Source organism: Homo sapiens, chromosome 12 (assembly GCF_000001405.40).
Source record: "Homo sapiens chromosome 12, GRCh38.p14 Primary Assembly".
Lineage (NCBI taxonomy): Eukaryota > Metazoa > Chordata > Mammalia > Primates > Hominidae > Homo > Homo sapiens.
Genome location: NC_000012.12, coordinates 77,926,505 through 77,951,567, shown reverse-complemented (window position 1 = coordinate 77,951,567; position 25,063 = coordinate 77,926,505). Strand labels below are relative to the sequence as shown.

Genomic DNA, 25,063 nt, shown 5'->3' with positions numbered 1-25,063 from the left:
AAGTAACAGGATGGCTGGGTCAAATGGTATTTCTAGTTCCAGATCCTTGAGCAACCGCCGCACCGTCTTCCACAATTGTTGAACTAGTTTACAGTCCCACCAACAGTGTAAAAGTGTTCCCATTTCTCCACATCCTCTCCAGCACTGCTGTTTCCTGACTTTTTAATGATCGCCATTCTAACTGGTGTGAGATGGTATCTCATTGCGGTTTTGGTTTGCATTTCTCTGATGGCCAGTGACGATGAACATTTTTTCATGTGCCTGTTGGCTGCATAAATATCTTCTTTTGAGAAGTGTCTGTTCATATCCTTCGCCCACTTGTTGATGGGGTTATTTGTTTTTTTCTTGTAAATTTGTTTGAGTTCTTTGTAGATTCTGGATATTAGCCCTTTGTCAGATGAGTAGATTGCAAAACTTTTCTCCCATTTTGTAGGTTGCCTGTTCACTCTGATGGTAGATTTCTTTTGCTGTGCAGAAGCTCTTTAGTTTAATTAGATCCCACTTGCCAATTTTGGCTTTTGTTGCCATTGCTTTTGGTGTTTTCGACATGAAGTCCTTGTCCATGCCTATGTCCTGAATGGTATTGCCTAGGTTTTCTTCTAGGGTTTTTACAGTTTTAGGTCTAACATGTCAGTCTTTAATCCATCTTGAATTAATTTTTGTATAAGGTGTAAGAAAGGGATCCAGTTTCAGCTTTCTACATATGGCTAGCCAGTTTTCCCAGCACTATTTATTAAATAGGCAATCCTTTCCCCATTTCTTGTTTTTGTCAGGTTTGTCAAAGATCACATGGTTGTAGATGTGTGGTATTATTTCTGAGGGCTCTGTTCTGTTCCATTGGTCTATATCTCTGTTTTTGTACCAGTACCATGCTGTTTTGGTTACTGTAGCCTTGTAGTATAGCTTGTAGTCAGGTAGTGTGATGCCTCCAGCTTTGTTCTTTTGGCTTAGGATTGTCTTGGCAATGCAGGCCCTTTTTTGGTTCCATATGAACTTTAAAGTAGTTATTTCCAATTCTGTGAAGAAAGTCATTGGTAGCTTGATGGGGATGGCATTGAATCTGGTTTTTAAAACTGGGGTCAAAGACCTTAACAGATACCTCACCAAAACAGATATACTGAAGACATATAAGCATATGAAAAGATGCATATTTCCACATCATATGTCATCAGGGGAATTCAAATTATAGTTACAATGAAATGCCACTACAAATCTATTAGGACGGCCAAAATCCAGAACATTGACAACACCAAATGCTAGTGAGGATGTGAAGCAGCAGGAACTCTCACTCATTTCTGGTGGGAATGCAAAATAAAACACTTTGGAAGACAGTTTGGTGGTTTCTTATAAAACTAAACAAATGTCATATGATCCATCAATCACACTTATTAGTATTTACCCAAAGGAGTTGAAAACTTAAGTTCACACAAGAATCTACCCATGGAAATGTATAGCAGTTTTCTTCATAACTGCCAAAACTTGGAAGCAACTAAGATGTTCATCAGTAGCTGAATGGATAAACTGTGGTACATTCAGACAATGGAATGCTATTCAGCACTTAAAAGAAATGAGCCATCAAGCCATGAAAAGACATGTAAGAAACTTAAATCCATATTACTAAGTGAAAGAAGCCAACCTGAAAAGTCTACATGCTGTATGACTCCAACAATATAACATTCTAGAAAAGGCAAAACCACAGGGACAGTAAAACAATCACTGGTTCCCAGGGGTTGGAGCACAGAGGATGTGTAGGGCAGTAAAACTTCTCTGTATAATACTATAATGGTAACACAGGTCATTATATATTTGTCTAATGTACAATACCAAGAGTAAACTTTAATATGAATCATGGATTCTGGGTGATACTGATGTTTCAATATATGTTTATTAATTATAACAAATATACTACTCTGTTGGGTGATGATGATATTGGGGGAGGCTATGCATGTGTGAGGGAAAGGGGTAGATAGGAAATCTGTACTTTTCTCCCAATTTTGCTGTGAACTTAAATTTGCTATAAAAAAAGTAGTTTTTAAAAAAATAAAGAGGGGGAGGAAGTGGAGGAGGAGGAGAAGGAAAAAAATAGCGGAAGATCCAAAGACCTGAATTCCAGACCTTATTTTGTTAAATTTATTTGTTAATAAGTCTAAAGATAATTTGGCCTAGACTAAATAAACATGAGTCCAAACCATAATTTTTCCACTTTACTAAATAAAGGACACAGATCGCCTCAATGAGACGCAGTTCCATTATAGGTTTGCCGTGATGGCTAAATGAAAAGCATAAGCAAAACACCTAGCACAGCACTAGGTATATACCATTGATGTTCAATAAATAAGTGATAATTACATCATTGAACTATCAGATCTTTCTCTAAATTTGTATGTTTTTATGTAATGATTTCCCAGTATTTCTTGTTATGTTTGAAACATGGCTAATAGAAGGCAGGTGTGAAATACGATTTTTCAGAGTGTAACAAGGAATGTCAATATATTTTCTGTGTCTATCCACACAATTCAGTTTTTAACTGAATTCATATTAAAATAATTTAAATATAATTTCATGAAGCAACTAGCTTTGGCATATCTACTACATTTCAAAATACTTATCTGATCAAAGATAAATTTTGCATATGATTACACAGAGGTTAAGTGAACAAGAGTTTCCCTATTTTATTTACTCTTTTTTCTTATTATTGAAAAAATTTAAATATATAAACTATCACAGATTTTTTTCAGATAGGAGTATTACAATTCATATTGAAAATGGCCAAATATCTTAATATTTTGTTTCCTAAACTAAGATTGTTAAAATTATCCTACTGTTAATATTTTTCCACTGATTATTGTAAGTGATAATTTTATTAAGTTTGGCAGTGGTGGGGGGGCAATTGAAAAAGAAGGAGCAATAAGTTCCTTAAAAACACCAACTATTAAATATAAAAAGCTAAAATTATAAAAGGATTCTTACGAAATATGTCTTCAAATACAATGATTGTATTTTGTGTTTACAGTAATACTGGGCTACCAATAAAAAACAATTTGTAGCATTTTAAGTACAAAAAAAATCAGGATAAAAATATGCCAATTATTTATTAAAGTGGTCAATATTCAAAGATATAGTAGAAATATCAACTACATTTTGCAATAGTTATATATGCATATATAAATTTAATGTCCTTAAAAATTATTTCTTCTCTTCAAAAGCAAAGAAAAAATCTGTAATTCAAACCGTTACTTTATTCCAATTTCTATTTATCATATTAATTACACAAACAAGTATAAATATTGACAACAATAAGAACAACATTTAAGCTATTCATTCTATAATATAAAGTTAATGCAACAAGGCATTCTTGTATTTTTAACTTTTATTTAATTTCTAAATGGCAGACCAAAGAATTCCCACAACGAAATGATTTCATGTTGCTGTTTTTCTTTGTAAATTAGACTTACTAAAACTGAAGAGAAATCATCATCTTTGGCATTTTTTTTAATCAAGGTAGCAAATCAGAGTTCCAATTGACTTTAGAGTTTATCTGTCCAATTTCCTCATTGCAGAAATGAGCAGAGGCCTTGAGAATTTACTGAATGCCTTTTCCTGGGTCATACATACAAAATTGGAATTCCAGTCACCTTTGTTCTTTTAACAAAACACACTGCCTCTTAATGCCTCCATGTTATGTCAATTACTTCATTTGAACTTGACTAGTGTGTGGAGCAACCTCTAGAGACAGGCAGATTTAAAAATCATTTAGGTGATATTCTAATAACTTACATATAAATTCCCTGATACTAGTAGTTTATACATATTTTTGCGAAGTTTGTATAAAAATAATGAAATCATTAAGAAAAATACAAAGTAAAGATTTTCATTTAGTATTTCTTTATAGATCAGAACTCTACTTGTAATAAAGCATTTGTCTTCATTAAGCTATCTTTTTCTAGCCATTCCAGAAGATGAATATTTTCAAAGTCAAGGGATCATGTGACTGGACTAACTTAGCAATATTCCACTCCTCTGAGTCATAGTGCTACAATTTTGCAGTATGCCATATATAAGATTTTATTAAACCTTTAAGAGCATTCCAGTATTTTATCTCTTCCCTATTTGGTTAAGAACCTCATCTTCTCATCTTACCTAAAAAAAAAAAAAAATCCTTTAAAAGAAGAGTGATTACAAGCAGTAGCTGAAAAAAATAAAACTTTAAAGGACAGGCTACTGATAAAAGCATGGGCTTTTTTTTTACTATTAAGAATAGTTTCACTTTCCAGATAAATATAAGCAATAGAAATAGGATCAAGAAATTTCTATCCCAAATGGGATAAAGATGTGAATTCCATAACAGTAATGATTCTGGGAGCCATAACCCTATCGGACATGGAATCAGATAGGCAGTAAAGACCTAAATCTAATTTTCCAGCTACTAGGATTTAAAAAGGAATAAGAAGCCAAAAATATTCATATCAGCAAATTGTAAACAACATACATGTTATACTAAAACCTTAGGTTGAAGGTTGTGGCTGGAAAACAATTGAATTATTACGACAAAACAGAGCCAAGAAAGAGGAAGGACAAGCTGTGAAATACATTTGCCAGATCCTTAGCTGTCTTACATAGCCTAATACTTGGTTTGTAACTATTTCACATAATCAGATGTCCTCATTCTTCTGTGCATTTTTGAAGATCCTTAAATATAATGGTCTATTTAAAAAATGTTTTAAATGTCATTGAAACAACTTTTACCCTACATGTCTAACATTTTTGTCTAAGAAACTTGCACTTGTGTCTCTGCATTCTAAGTAAATGTTGGACATATTTTTGCTATTTTTAATTTGCTGGGCATTTGGGACATTCCTGGTATTTATAGTTTACTAATTTATTTCCTCATGTAAGCTCACCAAAGTTGGGACATGCAGTATATATTTTGAATCCTGATGCCGCCCACCTAGGAATTACTCAACAGGTGCCATCCACATTAGTAACTTCATCTTTGGATAAGGTTAAATTTAGTGTTGACTAAGCTCCAACAAACTAAGTTCTGTTTTCCAGGACCAGTTTAGTCTCAAGCTCATCAAAGAAAAATAACCATGACTTTGAAACTTAAGATAAATATGAACCACAATATCTCAGTAATTATATTAATAAAGTGCTAAAAGGACAAATTCATATTTTTCTTAAATATGTGCTCTTTGGACTATGCTATTCAAAAGAATTGTTGTTGGGATTATATATACATGTATTATATATATCCACACACATACACATATTATATAGAGAGTTAAATTTTCTTTATAAGGTGCACGCGCACACACACACACACACACATACGCACATATATTTACACATATATGTGTATGTATATAGCAATATTCCACTCCTTTGAGTCATAGTGCTATCATTATATATATATGTATATATGTACATATATGTGTATATTTACACAATATATATATATATATATACATATATATATATGGTGAATTTTTCTTTATTATAAGGTATCCATGGCCAGGCATGGTGGCTCATGCCTGTAATCCCAGTACTTTGGGAGGCCGAGATGGGTGGATCACCTGAGGTCAGGAGTTCAAAACCAGCCTGGCCAACATGGCAAAACCCGTCTCTACTAAAAATTAAAAAAATTAAAAAATATTAGCCAGGTGTGGTGGTGGGCACCTGTAATCCCAGCTACTCAGGAGGCTGAGGCAGGGAGAATTGCTTGAACTCGGGAGGTGGAGGTTGCAGTGAGCCACGATCACACCATTTTACTCCAGCTTGGGCGACACAGCGAGACTTCGTCTCAAAAAATAATAATAATAATAAATAAAGTAACCATTAAACCATTAGAAAATCACATGAAAAGCAAGCACATTAATATTATCTAAAATTCTGAAGTTGTTATATTAATTTAAATTCCTCTAGTTTCTATTTAATATACTTTCTTTTCTACTTTGAAATTATTTAGTATATTTGATGTACATAAAATAATACATGTAACACTTATGTAAGTTGTAAAAGCAGAATAATATAGTACATTATACCCTACAGAACTAGAATCCTTCAAATAACTTGCCTCTATTTATGTGTTTCTTCCCTGTTCCGGCCATAATCCTTTCAGTGGTAGCTGCTATGTAGAGATTTGTGTTTATACAAATATGTTACATACATACTTTTTTCAAGTATCCGTATCTTCACCCCATCATAACCTTTTATGACATGATACAGAAACAAATGTATCCCTATTGTTTTCCAATATCAAATCTTCCACACAGACCAAAATTTCCTCCTCTTCTACTTCCTTTAGGACTTGGTATAGTTACTTACCACTTCATTCCTCTGAACCCTTTCCTTTCCCTCTACTGCTTCCTCCTTCTATGCTTTCTTCCCCCCTTGCAAAAACTCCCCTCAACTCTGTCTTCTTCTCAAGCTATTTATTTTTTTTTTTTCTCTAACAGTGTCTTAACAGGACACTCTTAGAAAAATTATTCATGACTCAATGGATATTGGCACTTCTGAGTTACTTTTTAACACGTTATTCACTCTACAGAATATGTTCACATACAGGTAATCAATGCCTATCCAATTACCAAAAAGAAATACCACATTCCAGTATACCAGCTATTTAGCTGCATAACATTTGACAGCATGTTACACATTCTGCTCATCTTACTTTGCCCTGACTTGCTGGGGTAGTCCACGTATTAGAGCTTCAGCTACTGCATCTTCCCTAAGGATTAGCAGTCCACATCTGTGATTCTGTTCCTCAACAATAGTCTCACTCTCTCAACACTCTTTCCCTTTCCTGACTCCTATACCTCTATCACATAAATATTTATATTTCCTAGAGTGAAAAACCTCAGGTTTCTTCTCCTGTGACTTCATGCAGACCTCCTGTAAGATTCCATTCTTGTCCATGGTTTCAAATATTACCTATTTTTTCAGTATATTCTAACCAATACTCTTTTCTGACCTTCAGAAACACATGTCTAATAGCCTTAAGTTTCCTCCAAATTGATGTTTTAATAGATACATCAAGTTCCACATGTTAAAATATGAATTCATCACCTTCCTCCCTCCACCTTTTTAAGAAATTTTTTTCTGCTTCTATAATAATAATCTTGTTTAATGGTAATTACTTACCCATTCAGGCTAAAAAATTGGGGCCATTTTAAGCTCCCTGTACTCTCCGTCACCCACATTCAACTGGACACCAACACTTACTTACTTTATAATCCCCATAAAGCATCTAGGGTGATCTTTTAAAGTATTTATATTGGATCATACCACAGCCCAGCTTTAAACATCTTCCAAAGTCTTCCTGAGTTAGAATACCATACCAACTCCTTACTTTGGCCCTACACTATCAGGCTTCCTTGTTCCCTTCAAACAACTCTCCTTGTGCCTAATCCACGGTGCTCTTCTATTTGTTTGTGGAATGCACCAAACTTACTCCATTCTCAGTCGTTTTTGTTCTCGCCTATGTAACTGTTGCTGTTATTTATCTAAACATTTGCTCCTCCAATTCTCAAGTGTAGTTCATCCAAATGTTATTATACTTTGTACTCAGTGCTTAGTAAATATTGATTACATGTGAATTACCTGGCTACTATGGAAATTTATCAATACATTGTAGATTCATACAACAAAAGGGATCTTCTATTCTTAAAGGCTTAAAATGATTCAATAAAGGGTAGCAAGTTTAACATTTAAATAAAAACAATTCGTGATTAAAAATAGCAGCAGACCTAATTTTACTTTATCTTTTGTTATTAAGCACCAACAGCAACCAAAGGCCACAAGAGACCAGGTATACAAAAAGAGGTGGCCAAAGTAGTCCTATGAGCAAGTATACCACTCACTCTTACTAATGTAGCACCTCCCAGTGTTATGCAATCAAGGAACAGGCAACATCCTGTTTGGAGTAGATACATGAAATTCATAAGCCTAGTCATGCTATCATAATTATCTTTCCTTTTCATTCTTGTCTCAATTAAAGTCTGGAATTTTTATTCACTAATAGTGCTTACACAAATTCTTAAGAACAGAGGCAAAAATAATTCAGCCAAAAAAGTTACATTTATTTCATATGTATTTTTCTGAATCAAGAAATTGAAGGCATGCCAACTTCAGATTCAAAATTCAACCACATCTTAAAGAAATGAGGATCTAAGTCATTCTTAGTCAATATTCGATATGATTCCAACTAATGCTTTTTGGCTGAATAAACTACCTTTTTTATAGCATTTGCATTTCTTAGACTGTGGTCTTTCTATTTTGTTTTAATCAGAAGTGGAAATATCAACATAACTTGCATAATATCTGTAACATGATATTTTGCAGTTAACAGGAATAAGAAGTAATAAAAAAATTAACAGAGTCTGAAACTCAAGAGACTCTTCACAGATTTGTAGAATCTCTAGGAACAGCTGTTTCAGATAAATAGGTAAAAACAGCATCTCTATTAACCATTGTTATGAGCTTTGGAATTGTTTTTCCATCACTGAGTATAAGCTTGCCTGTTTATTGAATTCTCTGTAATCCCAGAATCAAATTGGAATGATAGCCAAGTAGGTAAGAGTTTCTAGACTTAAAATGTTTTATATTATTCAACACCTCCTCATGGTAAAAATAATGAAAGCAAAAGCAACCATGTTGGGTTTAAGAAACATAATTATGGTTTCAGGGGACTGTTGAGCTTTTTAACTGAAAGCCTTAAAAATCTTTTAACAGGTGTTAATCCACGCATGTGTCCTTTACAAAGTTTGTAGCAATACTATTCTGCATTGCATTTTAGTTGTGTTAATAAAGGATGTTCACATACATATCTCATTGTCACATTCTAATTAAGGTTCATTTTACAGATGAGAAAGCTAAGGCTCAAAGAAGTTACATATTTTTCTCAACATCACACAGCTTATTACTGTATCAAGGTCTAAATGTCTTCTGATTTGGCTTGTTCACAGTAAAACCTCAGAAAACAACTGTAATTAATTCCCACAGAGTCACTTAGAGTAATTAGATCAGGAAGTTTCCTTAAAACTGAAGGATTGTATAGAAATCCTTTCTTTTACAGTGATTTTTTTCACAACCATATACACAGAGTTCATGACATCATAATAGGTCCTGGGAGTAATTATTTTTTATTTATTTATTTTATTATTTGATTTTATTATTTATTTATTTATTTATTTTTTCGAGACAGAGTTTTGCTCGTATTGCCCAGGCCGGAGTGCAATGGCACAATCCTCGCTCACCATAACCTCCGCCTCCCTGGTTCAAGCGATTCTCCTGCCTCAGCCTCCCGAGTAGCTGGGATTATAGGCATGCGCCACCACACCTGGCTAATTTTGTAATTTTAGTAGAGACAGGATTTCTCCATGTTGGTCAGGCTGGTCTCGAACTCCCGACCTCAGGTCATCCACCCGCCTTGGCATCCCAAAGTGCTGGGATTACAGGTGTGAGCCACCACATCTGGCCAATTATTTTAAAAATATACATGATAGTTAATCACTTTTAGAAATAAATTATGTTTATTATTTTGGATTTCAGTTTTCTGACATTAAGTAAAGTAGGTCAGTATATTTTAAAAGTTCATAGATTTTTTTATTCTTCCAAGTTTCTGACAACTAAGAACTCATTAAATTCATTTAAAATGCCTATTCTGTGCTGAAGAGTTTTGGAGAAAGCTTCATCTTGTGGATTTCGGCTGTCATTCCTGATTATATCTGCTTGATGTAACTTTAGTTAAGGCATTTTATATTTCAGGTTTTCCTATAAAACTAAGTTGTGGCTTTTTAATTAAGAAACATATTTTTATCTCTATAGTTTATTACTCTTTGACTTTATTATAAAACTTGAAGTTTTTATTGGTTGATAAAGATAAGAGATAGCTGGGAAAGAGGCAGATATCCAGGCTGAAGGCTTTCTGGAAGAGACTACGAATCATATCTCAAAATCAGTCACTGCTCACCAAACTGACAGCAGCATGCCTTGAGAACTATTTCCAGAAGTGTTGAAGAGTCCATGTGTTTACACTGGACTTTGTTATGAACAAAGAAAATACTATTTATATATTTTAAAATGCCCATGGCAAAGCCTGTTCTTTAAGCCAGTTGTTCAGACAAAAATAATCCACTTAAAAGTAGAAATGAAATTTACTACCATTAAGACCAGTGTTAAATTATACAGAACAGCAGAACAAAAAAAAGTCAAGGATCTAATAAGACATCTGGAAATATGTCATGTGTATATAGGAGTCACTTAATGATGTTGATGTGCCTAAATTGAACCCACACAAATACATATGAGAGAATGGGATCAAATGGTTTCTTAAGCAGGAAGACATGCAGAAAAAAAATAATATCCATTTACAAATGCAATTAATTCTGGAAGTGAAGATCAGCATTATATATTGAGAATAAATATGATTCTTACCATCTGAGACTGACTTCTAGGACATCCATTGATATCTTCAACTTTTTCATTTGCTAAAGCCAAGAGATAAAATAAAAGAGAGAAAAAAAGAACGACATGCTTAAGCAATGAAGTGAAACACACACACGAAAACAGGAAAAAAAAAATACCAAGCAAAAATGCTCCTGCTACATATATTCTGTCTTCCAAGCAGTGTACAAGAAGACACACTTATTAGCAGCTGCCAATTCTATATGCACAAATCAGGCAAAAAAAAAAATGAGTGAGAAGGAAGTTGCTGCTAATTCTTTAGCCTGTGCCAAATGATTGCTGACATGAAACCTTTCACAATTGTCCCTGCTGGATCAGGATACAGTTTCAAGGCATCTCAGAGTGTATGAGTTGCTCCAGCTAACGAAATACACACATGGGAGACATATGGTTTAATGAAGCATTCATTTCTGACAGTTCGATTCAAATGATTCAATAAAGGTTAGCAAGTTTATGTATATAAAGATACAGTTCTAGTTATTTAAAAGTATGGCCAAACTGCCTTTTTCAAACATCCTCATATAAACATTTTAATTAAATCAGGGGAGAGCTACATGAATCTCAGAGACACATGGACCAGTTCAGTAAGGCGCTTAACTTAAGTTGTGCTTTACCAAAGAGATGGGAGCAGAGACTTTCATGCTTTCTTTCAGAAGGAAGGGCTTACCAATAATCTGGATGATTTCTGCTAGGAGTACTCCATCTGCAATGTCTTGTTGCAAGTCCTTGATCAGCCGCTTGTGGCCTGATTTTGCTAGGTAGTGGTTGGCCCAGTCAGTGTAAATCTGTTGAACAGAGAGAAGGAAAAAGTGAGATGGGGTGAGGGAAAACAGAGACAATAAAATGCTGAAGACAAATGTTGGATTCAAAGGGAAGCTATTCTGGATCACATTCCAGTTTAAGAAGTCATAGCTCTAAAGGAAATAGTTGTAAAGTAATTTTTAAACAGCTCTTTCCCCAACTTATCTCTCATTTCAAAGGGGATGATTCACTCTCAAAATTAAGGGCTAGTCACTTGTGACAAAGCAAAACTTCCCTCTGGGATGACTACTGAGGAAACTCCCATTGCAAATCAGTTTGGGTTTTCTCTCTCTTTATTGTTTCTATCATTTTGAAAACAATCTTGCTTGTTCATGTAAAAGAAACCCACCTGGACTGATTTACATAGAAACATTACTATAAAAAATTGTGTTTCTCTGAGAACACTATTGAATTTGTCATGTGAGATACTGTATGTGACAAGATTTTGGCATCATTTTATGAGATAATTACAAATACCTTCCTGTCTAAGAAATTTGATTTGGATTGTCGTCTTCCATTTAAGCCTCTTGAAATGTGTTTATATGAGAGAATAGAGGCAGCAAATGGAGTTATTACACAGAAATTACAATGTAGAATTCAGAAGTGGATTATAAGGCACAAAATTGACAATTTGACATAAAATAGAGGTGTCTCTTCAACAGCAGATCATGATATACAGAAAAGCTGAAACTCTACAAAAATTTCACAAAAATAAAACATTGTTAATTTTTTCAATTGAATAGAATACTTACTAATTGTAAGGGAAAAATAAGCATGAAGATTTCAGCTTTATGGGTGGTACATATGCATATATTAGTGGATTTATTACAAGGCACTCTATGATGTGGTGTAACAGAAAAACAAAATATTTGAAATGAGAATAGAAGAAAGAAAGTAAGAAATACGCTTGTTAAAATTATTGTTAGAAGCACTGGAATTAGAACTGGAAATAACATAGAACCTAGGCCTGAGAAGTGAGGAGAAGGACCTTCCTTGCAGTGGGTATAACATATAGAAAAGCCGACAGGCAAAGAAATCTAGGACACAGCAGTAAAAACTGTAATTGAGGCAGAATGTCTAAAATTAGGGAAAATTAGGCTGAAAAGGTAAGTTGCATTTTATAGTTATGAACACTAAATGCCAAGCATGTTAAAAACTTTTTAAACATTTCTAACAAAGCAAATTCACATTTAAAAAAGTAATAATAATAAACCAGAAGTATAGAAACTAAAAAATGAAAGTCTCCCCACAACTTTCAACCCTGTCCATTTTTGAATAATTTGGTATGAAGAGTTCCAGAATTGATGTATCTACACCGCACTTCACACCATGCCACAGAACACACACACACACACACACACACACACACACGAGATCACATTTTAAACCAAATTTGGCTCAAATTTTACATATTATTTTGCAGTTTCAAATTTATAAGTAACAATATTTTAACAGCTTTTCTAAGAGCCATTTCATGTATGTTCATCTATTTTTAATATTGCATTATATATATCAATCCCCCAGTTGATAGATATTTGACTTGTTTAAATGTGTTTCTATTATATCTAAAGTTGCAAGAGACAGCCTGACATATGTACCTTCCTGAACTCATATGCTAGTATTGTTATATGTCAAAAACCTAGAAATGGGGCTGCTAAGTGTTTTGAATGAATCTTGGGTCTAAATATCACAAGATTACAACACAGAAGAAAAAGTGTTCCTTTCTATTAGAAAATACAAAGTAGTCCTACTGGCATCATAAGACTAGTACATATCTGGTGGTGATTAAGTTTCTTGAAAGATGTAAACAACTGGAAGCATCCCATTGCATAAGAAAAATATATGTGAGAGCAAAATTGCATCTCCTTTTATTAATATCCATGATCTCTATGTTGAAGATATTGAAGGGTAAGAAAAATTACTTGCATAACTGTCTCCTGAATTAGCACACAAATACATGATTTTTAGGTGGATGCTTTTATTTGGTAATAATTTTTCTCAGTTAAGATTTGATTATATTTGTATGATCATACATTTTTTGGAAGGATTTTATACTGTTTAGAATTTAAAACATTGAGCACACTCCCCTTCTTAACACTTCATTTAAATGATAGAATTGTTTTGGCCTTCTAGTAGAAACTTCAGGTTAAGTCAGACTTGAGTTGTGCCGATCTGTCCATAGGCAAAGACTGGGGCCATGGGTTGAAAAAGGATTCACAAGGGTGAGGAGAATGAGTTCTGGAGTCAGACAGATCTGACTTGAGACCACTTACTACCAGTGGAACCCTGGACAAGTTACTTAACCTTCAGATTCCTCTTGTAAAAAAAAGTCTTGTTGTAAAACAAGGAGAAAAATAATACTTACATTATAGGATTGTGCCAGGACTAAATAAGATAGCACTTGTAAAGCATCTGTCACAAAGCTAGTCATGAAAAAACATGCTTGCTATTATTATCATCACATGGCATCTAGTTTTATTTTGCTGTGATAGCTTTCCAACAAATACTTGTTAAAGTTATAATTTCACAAATGTTAAGAAAATTGAGAAGGCTGGCATCAGAAGACTAAAGAAATTGTAGTAATTGCTTCTGACACTACTCCTATCACTAATTCTGCCTGCCTTCCACTTCACAGGTGTTGTGAATCTGTCTGCCATCTGAACTCAGGGAAATCTAAATAACAGATTAAGGCTGTCATATTCTCATTCAGACCTGTAATGTCTCTATTGTGGCACCACTTCCATCAAACTGTATTTCGTTGGTTTTGTTTTATGATAACATTAATTATACAAAAACATTTGTTTAAATAAAAAACAAAATGATATGAATGGAAAGTGAAAATAAGAATACTTTCATTCTCCAAATGCATGTCAACAGTTCCTTAGCCTTTATCCAAATTCATCCTGGGACTTAGGTGAGAAAACAAATGGGAGGCCAGCTAGTTGGCTTCAAGATACCTTGTTGGTAATACCTGTGTTTTAGCTCACAAATCATTTTTTGTTTGATCCAGAATTTCTTCCAGAGGAATCCCAAGCTTAAGGGCTTTGATATGTCCAGCATCTCTAATATCTGAAACTTTGCTCAGGCCGTATTTCTAACTTCAGCTGCAATCAGTGAGAGCAATGGCTATATAAAGAAATTTAATGCAAATTTAAAAATAATTGTAGTACACTTTATTTGTTCCTTCTAATAAACAGCTGTGTCTTCCATACTTAAAAGATACTTGAGACCCTCCAAGGAAATGACAAGAGAGGGAAAACCAGTGCCTTCCAAAAGGATATTATAATCTAGATGGTGAAATATTTCAAAAATTACAAAGTAACATGTAAATATATTTTAAAATATTATATACAAACATACTTCTCTCTTTCAAAATTGTATATGTGTAAGTTGAATACAAAGGTGGAAAAATGAGTTGTGTCTTTAAGGAGACTTCGAGCAAAGGACACATGGTATAAAAATGTATTTAAAACTCATCAATAAATGTACTGTAATGCCGTGATGAGAGAGAATACAAACAACCTTGTCAACTGTCATTAGAATGTGATCTTTAAATAAATACAACAGGATGGTGAAATCAGGTCCTGAAATTGGATTTGAACTCCAAAATTGCCCTCAGTTCATTATCACAAAAATAATAATCACAGTATTTAACATTTTAGTTTCAGCTGAATGAGTTACAAAATGTGCAGTAATGTATTTTGCAGGCTTATGCTATGAATTAATTATAGTTTTTTTAGTGAAGAAATTGGTATAATTGGGAACAATATCAAACTAATCATAATTCAGTGTTTGGTAATTTTTGTAAAAGGGTCATTGAAGATTTTAATCATGAATGTTCTGGCTAAAGCTTCCAATACGATTTATCTCTGGAAATCTGAAGCCAGTCTTCTTCGACTGTTTTGATGAACTTCAACGTGATGAATATAAATATCATCCCATCTAATAATTTTATCTCAAGGAATTCAGAAGAATTACTGAGATTGCGTTTACAAGAGGGCTACTTAGAAATTCTAGTACAATTGCATGCATAATCATTCATTAACCATAATTAAAAGTGATAAAAATCAAAGGTATCATGGTATATTTTACATTTATCAGTATGAATTTTGGGGCCTATTATGCAATAGCATGTATTCTTTGAGGAACAATTCACATTGTTGGAATGTCTGCTCTGCCACTTAATATTTGTGCAGACTTTGATTGAACATTTCTTTTCTCTAAATTCCCCAGTATTCTCATCTGTAAAATGGCAATAATATTATAACCTACTGATACGGTTTAGCTCTGTGTCCCCACCCAAATCTCATGTTGAATTGTAATTCCCAGTATTGGAGGAGGGGCCTGGTGGGAGGTGACTGAATCATGGGGGCAGACTTCTTCCCTTGCTGTTCTGATAGAGTTCTCATGAGATCTGGTTTTTCTGAAAGTGCGTAGCACATCCCCCTTGGCTCTCTCTCTTCCTCTGGCTCCCACCACGTAAGATGATCTTGCTTCTCCTTCACCTTCCACCATGACTGTAAGTTTCCTGAGGCCTCCCCAGCCATGCTACCTTTGGAGCCTGCAGAACTGTGAGTCTATTAAACCTCTTTTCCTTACAAGTTACCCAGTCTCAGGGATGTCTTTATAGCAGTGTGAAAACAGACTAATACCTCAACCAATGGAATTATTGTGAGGATTTAATGAATTTCTACTTTGGAATATGGACTTTCACTATGTTAAATATTGTTATTAGTAGCTCACTGCTTTAATATGAAATACATTTCCATTAACCATGAGAAATATTGTAAACCATTATTATTGTTAAACTCTTAAATCATATATATTCATCCAAATATAGTTTACCTAACTAATTAAGGAAAATTGCAGGAAGTTGTAATGACCTTGTAGCTTCATCATTTGCCTCTATGATATTTCTCTTACAGTGCTCATTATTCACTATAAATATGAGGATGAAATAGAAGGCAACATATATGATACCATATTTCTTTTGAGAAGTGAACCTGCTATGAAGAAACAACATCAGAAAAAGATCTACTCTGATTTTCCTTGAAGTCCTAAACATTTGTGATTTTTTTTTACTACTGACAGTATTACATACTATCTTTGTCTGTCACAGCAAGCTGCTCCTACATTTTTAAAAATTATTTATTTTAGCATTTGGTTAGTATTTTATAAGTAACCTACCACTCAGTTATATAAAAATGATTATAACTATTTTTGTTATTCCATACACTACATAGAGGTATATGTGTTTCAATGGGATAAAGTAACTTATTTTTAAGGAATCCTAAATAATCGAAGAAGTAGGGAGAAGTGATAGGGGAAAGACTGCCTCTTCATTGAAGTTAAAAGTCTGTTTGAATAAAAACACACTAATCTGTAACCTGATTAGAAGATATTATGAATATAATCAGAGGATTTAAAAATATTAGCTGAGCTAATTTTAACCCTGTACTTATTTAAAACATTATTGTTTTCCTTCAACATTCAAGCAGTAGCATTACATTTCTATAAGCACTGCTCCCTGGTATGTTCAAATTACTGGCTTTGTAAAGTTAAATGGGTTCTTCTAAGACATAACAGGAATTGTGTTGAAGACCAAGGGTTTCTATGATAATAACTGGACTTCTACATCTTAAAAAGCAGCAAAAGACTAAGCATATAAAGTGCAACCAGAAATCATACCTTAGGGAAAGGTGATCAGTGAAGTAAGTGTTTTTCCCACAAAAAGAAAAACTAGTATAGGGAAGAGAATTGGAAGGAAAAGGAGCCCTAGAACAGATTTAAGAGGTTACCTCTCTGGACTGAGTTTCAAAGTAGCATTTGGACCTGAGAATGGAATCACAAAGGACAACATTGACCACAACAGTATAGGAAAGCATACTTTTTTTTTATAATTTCCCAAGAGCCATATGGAATTTTCTGGAAGAAAGAAGTGATCCTAGAGAGCACTTGAAATCAGGACAGGAAGGATGTATAGAGCTGGCACAGAAAAGCAAAAAGGGCACAGAAGATGTGAGGATAGGTTAAAATAAGTCAAGTTATGTATGACAGGAATCCTACCTTCGGGCACTCATCAGACAGCAGCCTTGGTGGGTAGCAATGGCAATGAACAAGCTGTGTCACCCCTGGTGCCATGATAATAAGGAACCACAATCAACAACCCTCCCCAGCCCATCACTGCAGAAAGAAAAGGAAGAATCTGGAACTGAATGAGCCTGGCCCTCAAACACTGAGTTTTAAACTGAAAGTGATTATGTTACTTTGAACTGAGATAAATACATTTTCTCCTACTATACAGAGAAAGAGGCTTAAAAGGTGAAGTTATATATTTTTTCAAAGATATAATTTTGTACACCACAGTTTTAAGACTCAAAAATTCAAAAATGGTAGGCAACATTGGACAAAGAAGGTTGCAAAATCACAGTGTGGGATTAAGACACAATACATACTATTTTTAGATGTTTTGAAAAGTTGATCACAGACTGGATCTGCAGTTGTTGTTACAGAACTGATATGACCAAAAGATCTGTGAATGAGTCCAATCTCATGACTCTTGTAGGCCTTCTAGAAATCTCAATAGCTCATGTGGTATAATTATGAAACGAATCCATTAAAAGTTTTGGGTAACATCATATTGTCACAATATATGTAATACATTCACCATCTAGCTAGTTCACCTCAGTCTGTACAGATAGTTCACCTCAATATTCACATTAAAATGAAAGCTCACACTGTATGAAGTTTTTCAAAAATCTCAACTTTGGAGTTTGATTTAAAAGTGAATATTAATGAGTTGACTACCCCATAAGATCGGTGGATGGTCTATGAAGGCAAGTAAATTATAAAGTAAACATAAATTGAAGTCTGATAATTTCCTTTTACTTTTTTTCTGTCATTCTCTTTCAATCTCTGACCTAGTGCTGTTAATTTTATCTCCCTAACATCTCTTCACCCTTCCACTCCTCCATTGCTACTATCATTGCCCTGGGTCGCTTCTCATCATCTCTCACCCAATCACTCTAACAGTCATATAAACACTTTCTGAGTGCAGGCAGGCTAAGCATTATACTATTCTATACACTACAGATAGTGATTGCTTTAAAATGCAAATCTGATCAAGTAATTTAACGTGTTAGTAAAAATCACAAAATAGCTCCCACTTAACTTCAAAAAAAATGTCCCTTATGAAGTCAATTTATTCCATTTTTAAGAGAAAATTAGTTTAAATAAAAATAGCAAAAAGAGTAAAACATAACTATGAAGGTTACAGAAGAATGATGATTGAGAAATGACACATAAAAGGATGAGATTTGACAATCAGAAGGAAGGGGAAAGCATATTCCATGCAGAATATGCATAAATAATTACATCTACAGAGGAACAGAGCTATGAAATAGCCTCATGATTTCAGAGAATTTTGTATAGTTCTATTTGGCCAGAACATGGGGAAGGGGCACATGGAAACACTAAAGGAAGAGGCCAGGAATCAGGTAAGGGTTGGGCAAAAAGCAATAATATCTGAAGCTAAGAAGGCTTTATTAAGATTTTTAGGTGAAAGTTTATTTTCATGTAGGGAACATGAAAATGACAGCCATGCTCCTGTTACTAAACTTGAACTTGAGTGCAGCTATGGAGTTTAGAGTCAAGTTTAGAGTCAAGAAAGTAAAGACAGATTACTTACAAGACTTCTGTATTCTAGATGATAAAATAGTTTTCTGCCCTGTATTTACTAAGAAATTGCCCACAGGACAGCAAGAACAAAAAATCTTAACTCAAATTCTATCTTCCATGAACACAATATATGAGTGTGGAAGGCAGATGAAAGAATGATACACATGTAGCAGAGTAGTAAAGGAAGATGGACCCACAGAAGCCTGCAGAGGGAGACAGAGTAATGCAAACAGATTTTCCCACAGACCCCCAGAATGGCTCAGAAAGTATGAGCATCAGATCAAATGGAAGGTAGGATGAACCAAATTCAAGAGTTATATTGTTGCCGGCCTATCCATTCTCCCATCAAAAGCCAGGACATACTTTAGGGAAAATCCGGACTTAGGGTTATCAGGAAGACAAAAGGTAAAGGCATGGAAATGAAAACAAAAGGATTAAGTAAAATTATATATACTTATGTTGAGACCCCAGCAACTGATTTTTGCTTCCCTGGCACCCTCTCCTTCAGGAATATAGGATTTCATATCCTCCACCCTCACTCCAGTCAGATTTAAAAAATCTGTCTTTGACAACAATGATCATCCCTAAGATCAACAGATACTGACACTCATGGTACCCAGTGAATCAATGAGCTGGCCATCATTATAGGATGGCCTATAATGAATCACAAAAGACATTAACAACTATGTGCATCACACACACACACACACACAAACACACACGCACAAATAGCTTCCAAGTAGATTATTATTATTATTTGAGATGGAGTCTTGCTCTGTCACCCAGGCTGGCGTGCAGTGGCGCGATCTCGGCTCACTGCAAGCTCCTCCTCCCGGGTTCACGCCATTCTCCGGCCTCAGCCTCCCGAGTAGCTGGGACTACAGACACCCGCCACCACACCCGGCTAATTTTTTGTATTTTTTAGTAGAGATAGGGTTTCATCGTGTTAGCCAGGATGGTCTCGATCTCCTGACCTTGTGATCCGCCTGCCTGGGCCTCCCAAAGTGCTGGGATTACAGGAGTGAGCCACCGCACCTGGCCGCTTCCAAGTAGATTTTTATTGTCTCATGCTTGATACAGAGAATTGAGGTTTACCAGGGGTTTGATAAAATTCTCTGAAATAAAATGGAGATACCAAAATAGACAGATAAAAAGAAGCCAGAATAAAATACAGACAAAGCTGAAGCATAAGAGAACTTCAGGGAAATTAAAATTAATACCCTAGAAATGAGAAGTTGCATTCCTCAGCGGATGCAGAAGAAAATGAATGATACATACACACATATGCACACATGCACACTTACACCCACACACACACAAATACACACACATATATTTGAAGATCTAGGGATTAAGTAGAAGTTTTGTAAATTAAAAATATGATTGACTTTTTAAAGCTGAAAGGCTGGAAGGATAAATTGAGAAGGTTTATTGGAAGGGAGATCAAAATTGAAAAAGATGAGCAATAATAGAAAAATATAGTCATATTAGAGGATTCAGTAAGTCAAGTGTCAAAAAAATACTAGTTCCAAAAAATAAGATAGGAAAAAAATTATAGGAAAGAATTTTCAAAGTGTTCATCACTATTAAGAAGATAAAAATTGATAACAATATCAGGGATAAAAAGAATATTCTAAAAGCTTCAGGAGGGTGGGGCACAAAGAAACAAATTTTAAAAGTTCAAGTTACCTTCAAAGGATCAGAAATTATAATGACATCACAAGTCTCTACAGTGACATTGCAACTAGAAGATACAGAGAAATTCCTATGAAATTCTGGAGGAAATTGATTTTCAATCTCAAATTCTATGCCTAGACAAACTTTCCAACAGTTGGGATAATAAAATAAGGATATATTATACAAAAACATTCTAAGAGAAAAAAATATTTTCATACATCCCTTGTAAGGAGGCTATCAGAAGTGAAAATAATGGAATCCAACAAACAGGTGACCAAATGTAAGAGAGAGGCAAAGACATTTTCAGCTGATGATAAGGAAAGTTCAGTGTAACTGCTATGTAACAGATCTAGAGAGCAATCATTTTACATTGGAACAAAGAGAAATGATTCTAGAATTGTTAACACTAGGGAAATAATAAATCTGATGCACTGTGTGAGAATTGGATTATAAGGAAAATTGTATACGGATGGATTTTACAGATCTGTTGGAAACTGTTAAAAAAAAAAGGTAAATGTAGCCATAAAGTCAACATAAATTATACAATAAAAAAGTGAGGCAATTATTAGCTCTATAGAAAAAAAACAACAAACTCTGTTTAAGAAAGAGACTTTAATCCTAGGCTAGTATTAGTCTGGTAGTGAATAATATTTACATGGGAACAATGAAAACAATATAGATTTCACTGAAAATTATAGTGTAAGTATATTGGGGGTAGTGCAGAGAAGAAGGGGGTTATAAAGAAGCAAAGTCCTTATATACCATCCCAAAAAGTCAATAGTCTCTAAATTTCATAAAGTAGGATATTAAAGCATATTACTTGGAAATACAAAAATAATCACCATAAGAAATTGCTAAATGGGTAGAAATTCATTCTTTTTGTTGGAGAGGAGCTAGGGATAGGACTGCTCTTGTTTGTTTACCTGTAGAACTTTACATGTTATTTTATTTTAATAGTCTAATAACAATGAAAATCATTCATTTAAAAATAAAGTTTATAGACCAGGCATGGTGGCTCATGCCTGTAATCCCAGCACTTTGGGAGGCCGAGGCAGGCATATAACTTGAGGTCAGGAGTTCAAGACCAGCCTGGCCAAAATGGTGAAACCTCATTGCTACTAAAAATACAAAAAAAAAAAAAAAAAAAAAATAGCTGGCCGTGGTGGCGGGTGCCTGTAATCTCAGCTACTTGGGAGGCTGCAGCAGGAGAATCGCTTGAACCAGGGAGGCAGAGGTTGCAATGAGCCGAGATCATGCTGCTGCACCATCTTAAAAGACTCCATCTTAAAAGAAAATAAAAATAAATAAGTAAATAAATAAATAAAAATAAGGTTATAAAAAGAGTCTGAGCGAAAGATGATGAGGTAGGGATACAGAAAACCAAAGGTGTGGGGATATAGAAAAGCCGTATTTACGGAGTAGAATCAGCAAGACTTGAAAGTGAAACAGATTTGACTCAAGGTGGATAAATTCAAATTTCTGGTTTGGATTAGCTAGATACTGGTGTCTCCCACTTAGTAGACACTCAATAAAGACTGGCTTATAGCTTATAGGGTCAATGACATGTCCCTGTCCGTGACGCAGCCAGAGCTATGCAATGTGGTGGCTTTGACAGGCTAATGGAATGGAACTCTAAAAATGGAACTCTAAAAATTGGTTTTTAGGTTTTAAGAAAATATACATATCTCCTAATTATTTTTTAAAACGGTTTGATTTTAGTTGCAAAGAATACAAGTCCTTAATTAATATATTAAAATCCTGGTATATCTAACATATTACTAATGATATATTTCATATGAAGAGATTAGCTGTCTTCAGACAAAATGAATAAACTACATTGATATGCATAAATATCATTATTACAGCATTTAACTTTTCAAGTACTCTGAGAGTTATTTCCTACCCAAACAGAGAATTCACCACAGCAGGCTACTGTACTTCTTTTGACCATAAAGCCAGATGGACAAATAATCAACATTGACCTCCTGAACTCTCTGGCACCTACCCCTACCCATCCCAGTGACACTTTGTTATGCAGATATCAAGTGCACCCTTTAACTCAATTTCAGATTTTATCAGAGCTGAAATTACATTAATATTTTCATTTGCAACTGCATTTATCTGTTTAAAATTGTAGCCACAATTCACTAGCTTAGAATCTAGTTACATATCTCTATTATTAGATTGGAAATAGGAAATTTTTAGATGAACAGAAATACAGGTAAGTTGATAGGAAAAGAAAGGGTAGGATTTACTATGCTAACTACAGTATGTTCTGATTTTTCTTTACATGCAGTTTTTTAATAGAGAAAAAAGCTGAGGCCATAACACAAACCATGTCATTCATAGTCAAATCAAACCTGCCAACATTTATTGAGCAGTACTGTGCTTGGCACCATGGGCAGTACCAACAAGGATAAGGCACATAAGTTTTTCGTTAATGAGGAAGGGAGGGAGGGGGTCGGGAACAGGTCAGACAATTTTGAAATCCTAGTAGGGGTTCTCTGCAATGATGACTGCCTCATCTTTCCTCCATCTCCCTTATCCTTTGGCATTCTAGCTACCTAGTTCGTGTCCAGATCATCATTGTGAGAACCCCTCGGCATTCATTTAAAGCCATATGTGTTGTTCTCTAATCTTTCTTGCTGTTCCAAATGTACTGAATACTTTGGAAACTGAGTCAGCATTTTCCTTCCCTCTCTCTCTTTTTTTTTTTTTTTTTTTTTGAGGCGGAGCCTAGCCCTGTCACCCAAGCTGGAGTGCAGTGGCGCAGTCTCGGCTCACTACAACCTCTACCTCCCTGATTCAAGCAATTCCCTCCCCTCAGTCTCCCGAGTAGCTGGGATTACAGGCGCACACCACCACGTCTGGCTAATTTTTGTGTATTTTTAGTAGAGATGGGGTTTCACCATGTTGGCCAGACTGGTCTCGAACTCCAGACTTCAGGCAATATGCTCACCTCAGCCTCCCAAAGTGCTGGGATTACAGGTATGAGTCACCGTGCACTTCCAGCATTTTCCTTCTCTAACCTTTAGTGATGCAGTCATACTGGGCAACCTCATGGTCAATACAGACAGTCAATCAAACACTCTGGCAGAAATAAAATACATAATGAAGAACCAGCTACCCGGTCTTAAATGCATGGGGCCTGACTAATGATCTTTTCTTCTACAAAAAATGATATGATATACATTTTTGAAAAAGGAGTTGGCTATTATAATTATAAGGCACAATCTGGTGGTAACTTAAATTTTATTTCACTTTAATTGCATTTCCACTGCTACCAGCAGTATGACAAGAAAGGGCTACATAACATTCTTTCTCCAAGATGTAGTGTCTACTAATAACAGTGTTGAGAGTAAGCACTATTTTAAATACTTTAAATAGTTTAACTCATTCAATCCTTAAAGCTCCCTAAGAGGAAGGTACCACTATTCCGTTTTTAAAGATGAAGATTCTAAAACAGAGAAGTGAAGTATTTTCCCAAGGTGGCAACAGTAAGTGCTACATAGAACCCATACTTTCTGTCTCAAGATTTATACTCTCAGCTCGTACAAAAGGAAATGTTTTATTTATGAGCCTTTCTTAACTCCAGCCTTCTACCTTATTTCTGTTACATCTTATGTCCATCTCAAAATATGGAGAAAAGTCTCCTTTATTTGACTGCTGCAACATCTAGTACTAACAGAGAGCTCCATGGGGAATTCATCTTAACAGTCTGTGAAGTCTAATAATGCTGGTGACAATATTAGCTAAAATCTAAATATTAATACCACACAGTATGTTTTAAAAAACAGTTATGAAAACAGTCCATCTCTACCCTTTTCTAAGAAAACAAGTGAGAATACTTGAGATTCTTTTAACTTCTTCTTGTATCAGTCTGATAAATTGATGTAAATTGTGCAAGTACATTCAAAGTAAAATCAGCTACCATCCTCCAAAGACCAAGTAACATGCTATAAATATGCATAAGAAAATACTGTTAATAAAACACAAAGTTAAAAGAGAATAAATTCCGTTTAAGCCTTAGCAGTTCAGAGTTTCCAGGCTTCTGACCTGAGCATTTCTCCTTACTTTCCAACAATTAACAGAGAAAAATTGACTGATGGAAAGATTGGTTTAGCGTAGACCGTAGTTCTCAAAATGCAGGTTCTTGACCAATGCATCAGAATCATCTAGGAACTTGTTACAAATGCAACTTACCAGGCCCCATCCTAGATCTATTGAATCCGAGACTGGTAGTGGGGCCCAACAAATGAATTTTAAAAAGTCTGCCAGGTGATTCTGAACTGTGTTAATGTTTGAGAACCTCTGGCGTGGATGGAATGCTGTTCACAAATTACAAGAGATTTAATTCTAATACCTTAAACTGTCTTTCAATGTAAAGAATATAGTATTTTAATGTAAGTGAAAAGTAATAAAACAGCCATGGCATATCTATATC

The 25,063-nt window shown here is 34.7% G+C and overlaps 1 protein-coding gene across 27 annotated transcripts in view, besides 1 other annotated feature; it reads right to left on the bottom strand.

Moving 5' to 3' along the window:
* Positions 1-25,063, bottom strand: part of NAV3 (neuron navigator 3) — a 641,149-nt gene that overhangs the window by 261,443 nt on the left and 354,643 nt on the right. For all 27 annotated transcript variants that reach the window (XM_017020166.3, XM_047429817.1, XM_047429823.1 and 24 more), the window contains exons 2-3: positions 11,132-11,249; positions 10,435-10,487 (exon numbers count right to left, since the gene is read on the bottom strand). In XM_017020166.3, the coding sequence (XP_016875655.1) occupies positions 10,435-10,487; positions 11,132-11,249 (171 nt within the window). The remainder of the gene's footprint in view (positions 1-10,434; positions 10,488-11,131; positions 11,250-25,063) is intronic.
* Positions 10,851-12,050: an enhancer, noted in NCBI's record as "P300/CBP strongly-dependent group 1 enhancer chr12:78333298-78334497 (GRCh37/hg19 assembly coordinates)". NCBI's record gives its function as "activates an origin of replication core promoter dependent on BRD2, BRD4, P300/CBP, MED14 and CDK7 cofactors, with strong dependence on P300/CBP, by STARR-seq in HCT116 cells {active_cell/tissue: HCT116}" and the evidence as "EXISTENCE:reporter gene assay evidence [ECO:0000049][PMID:35650434]".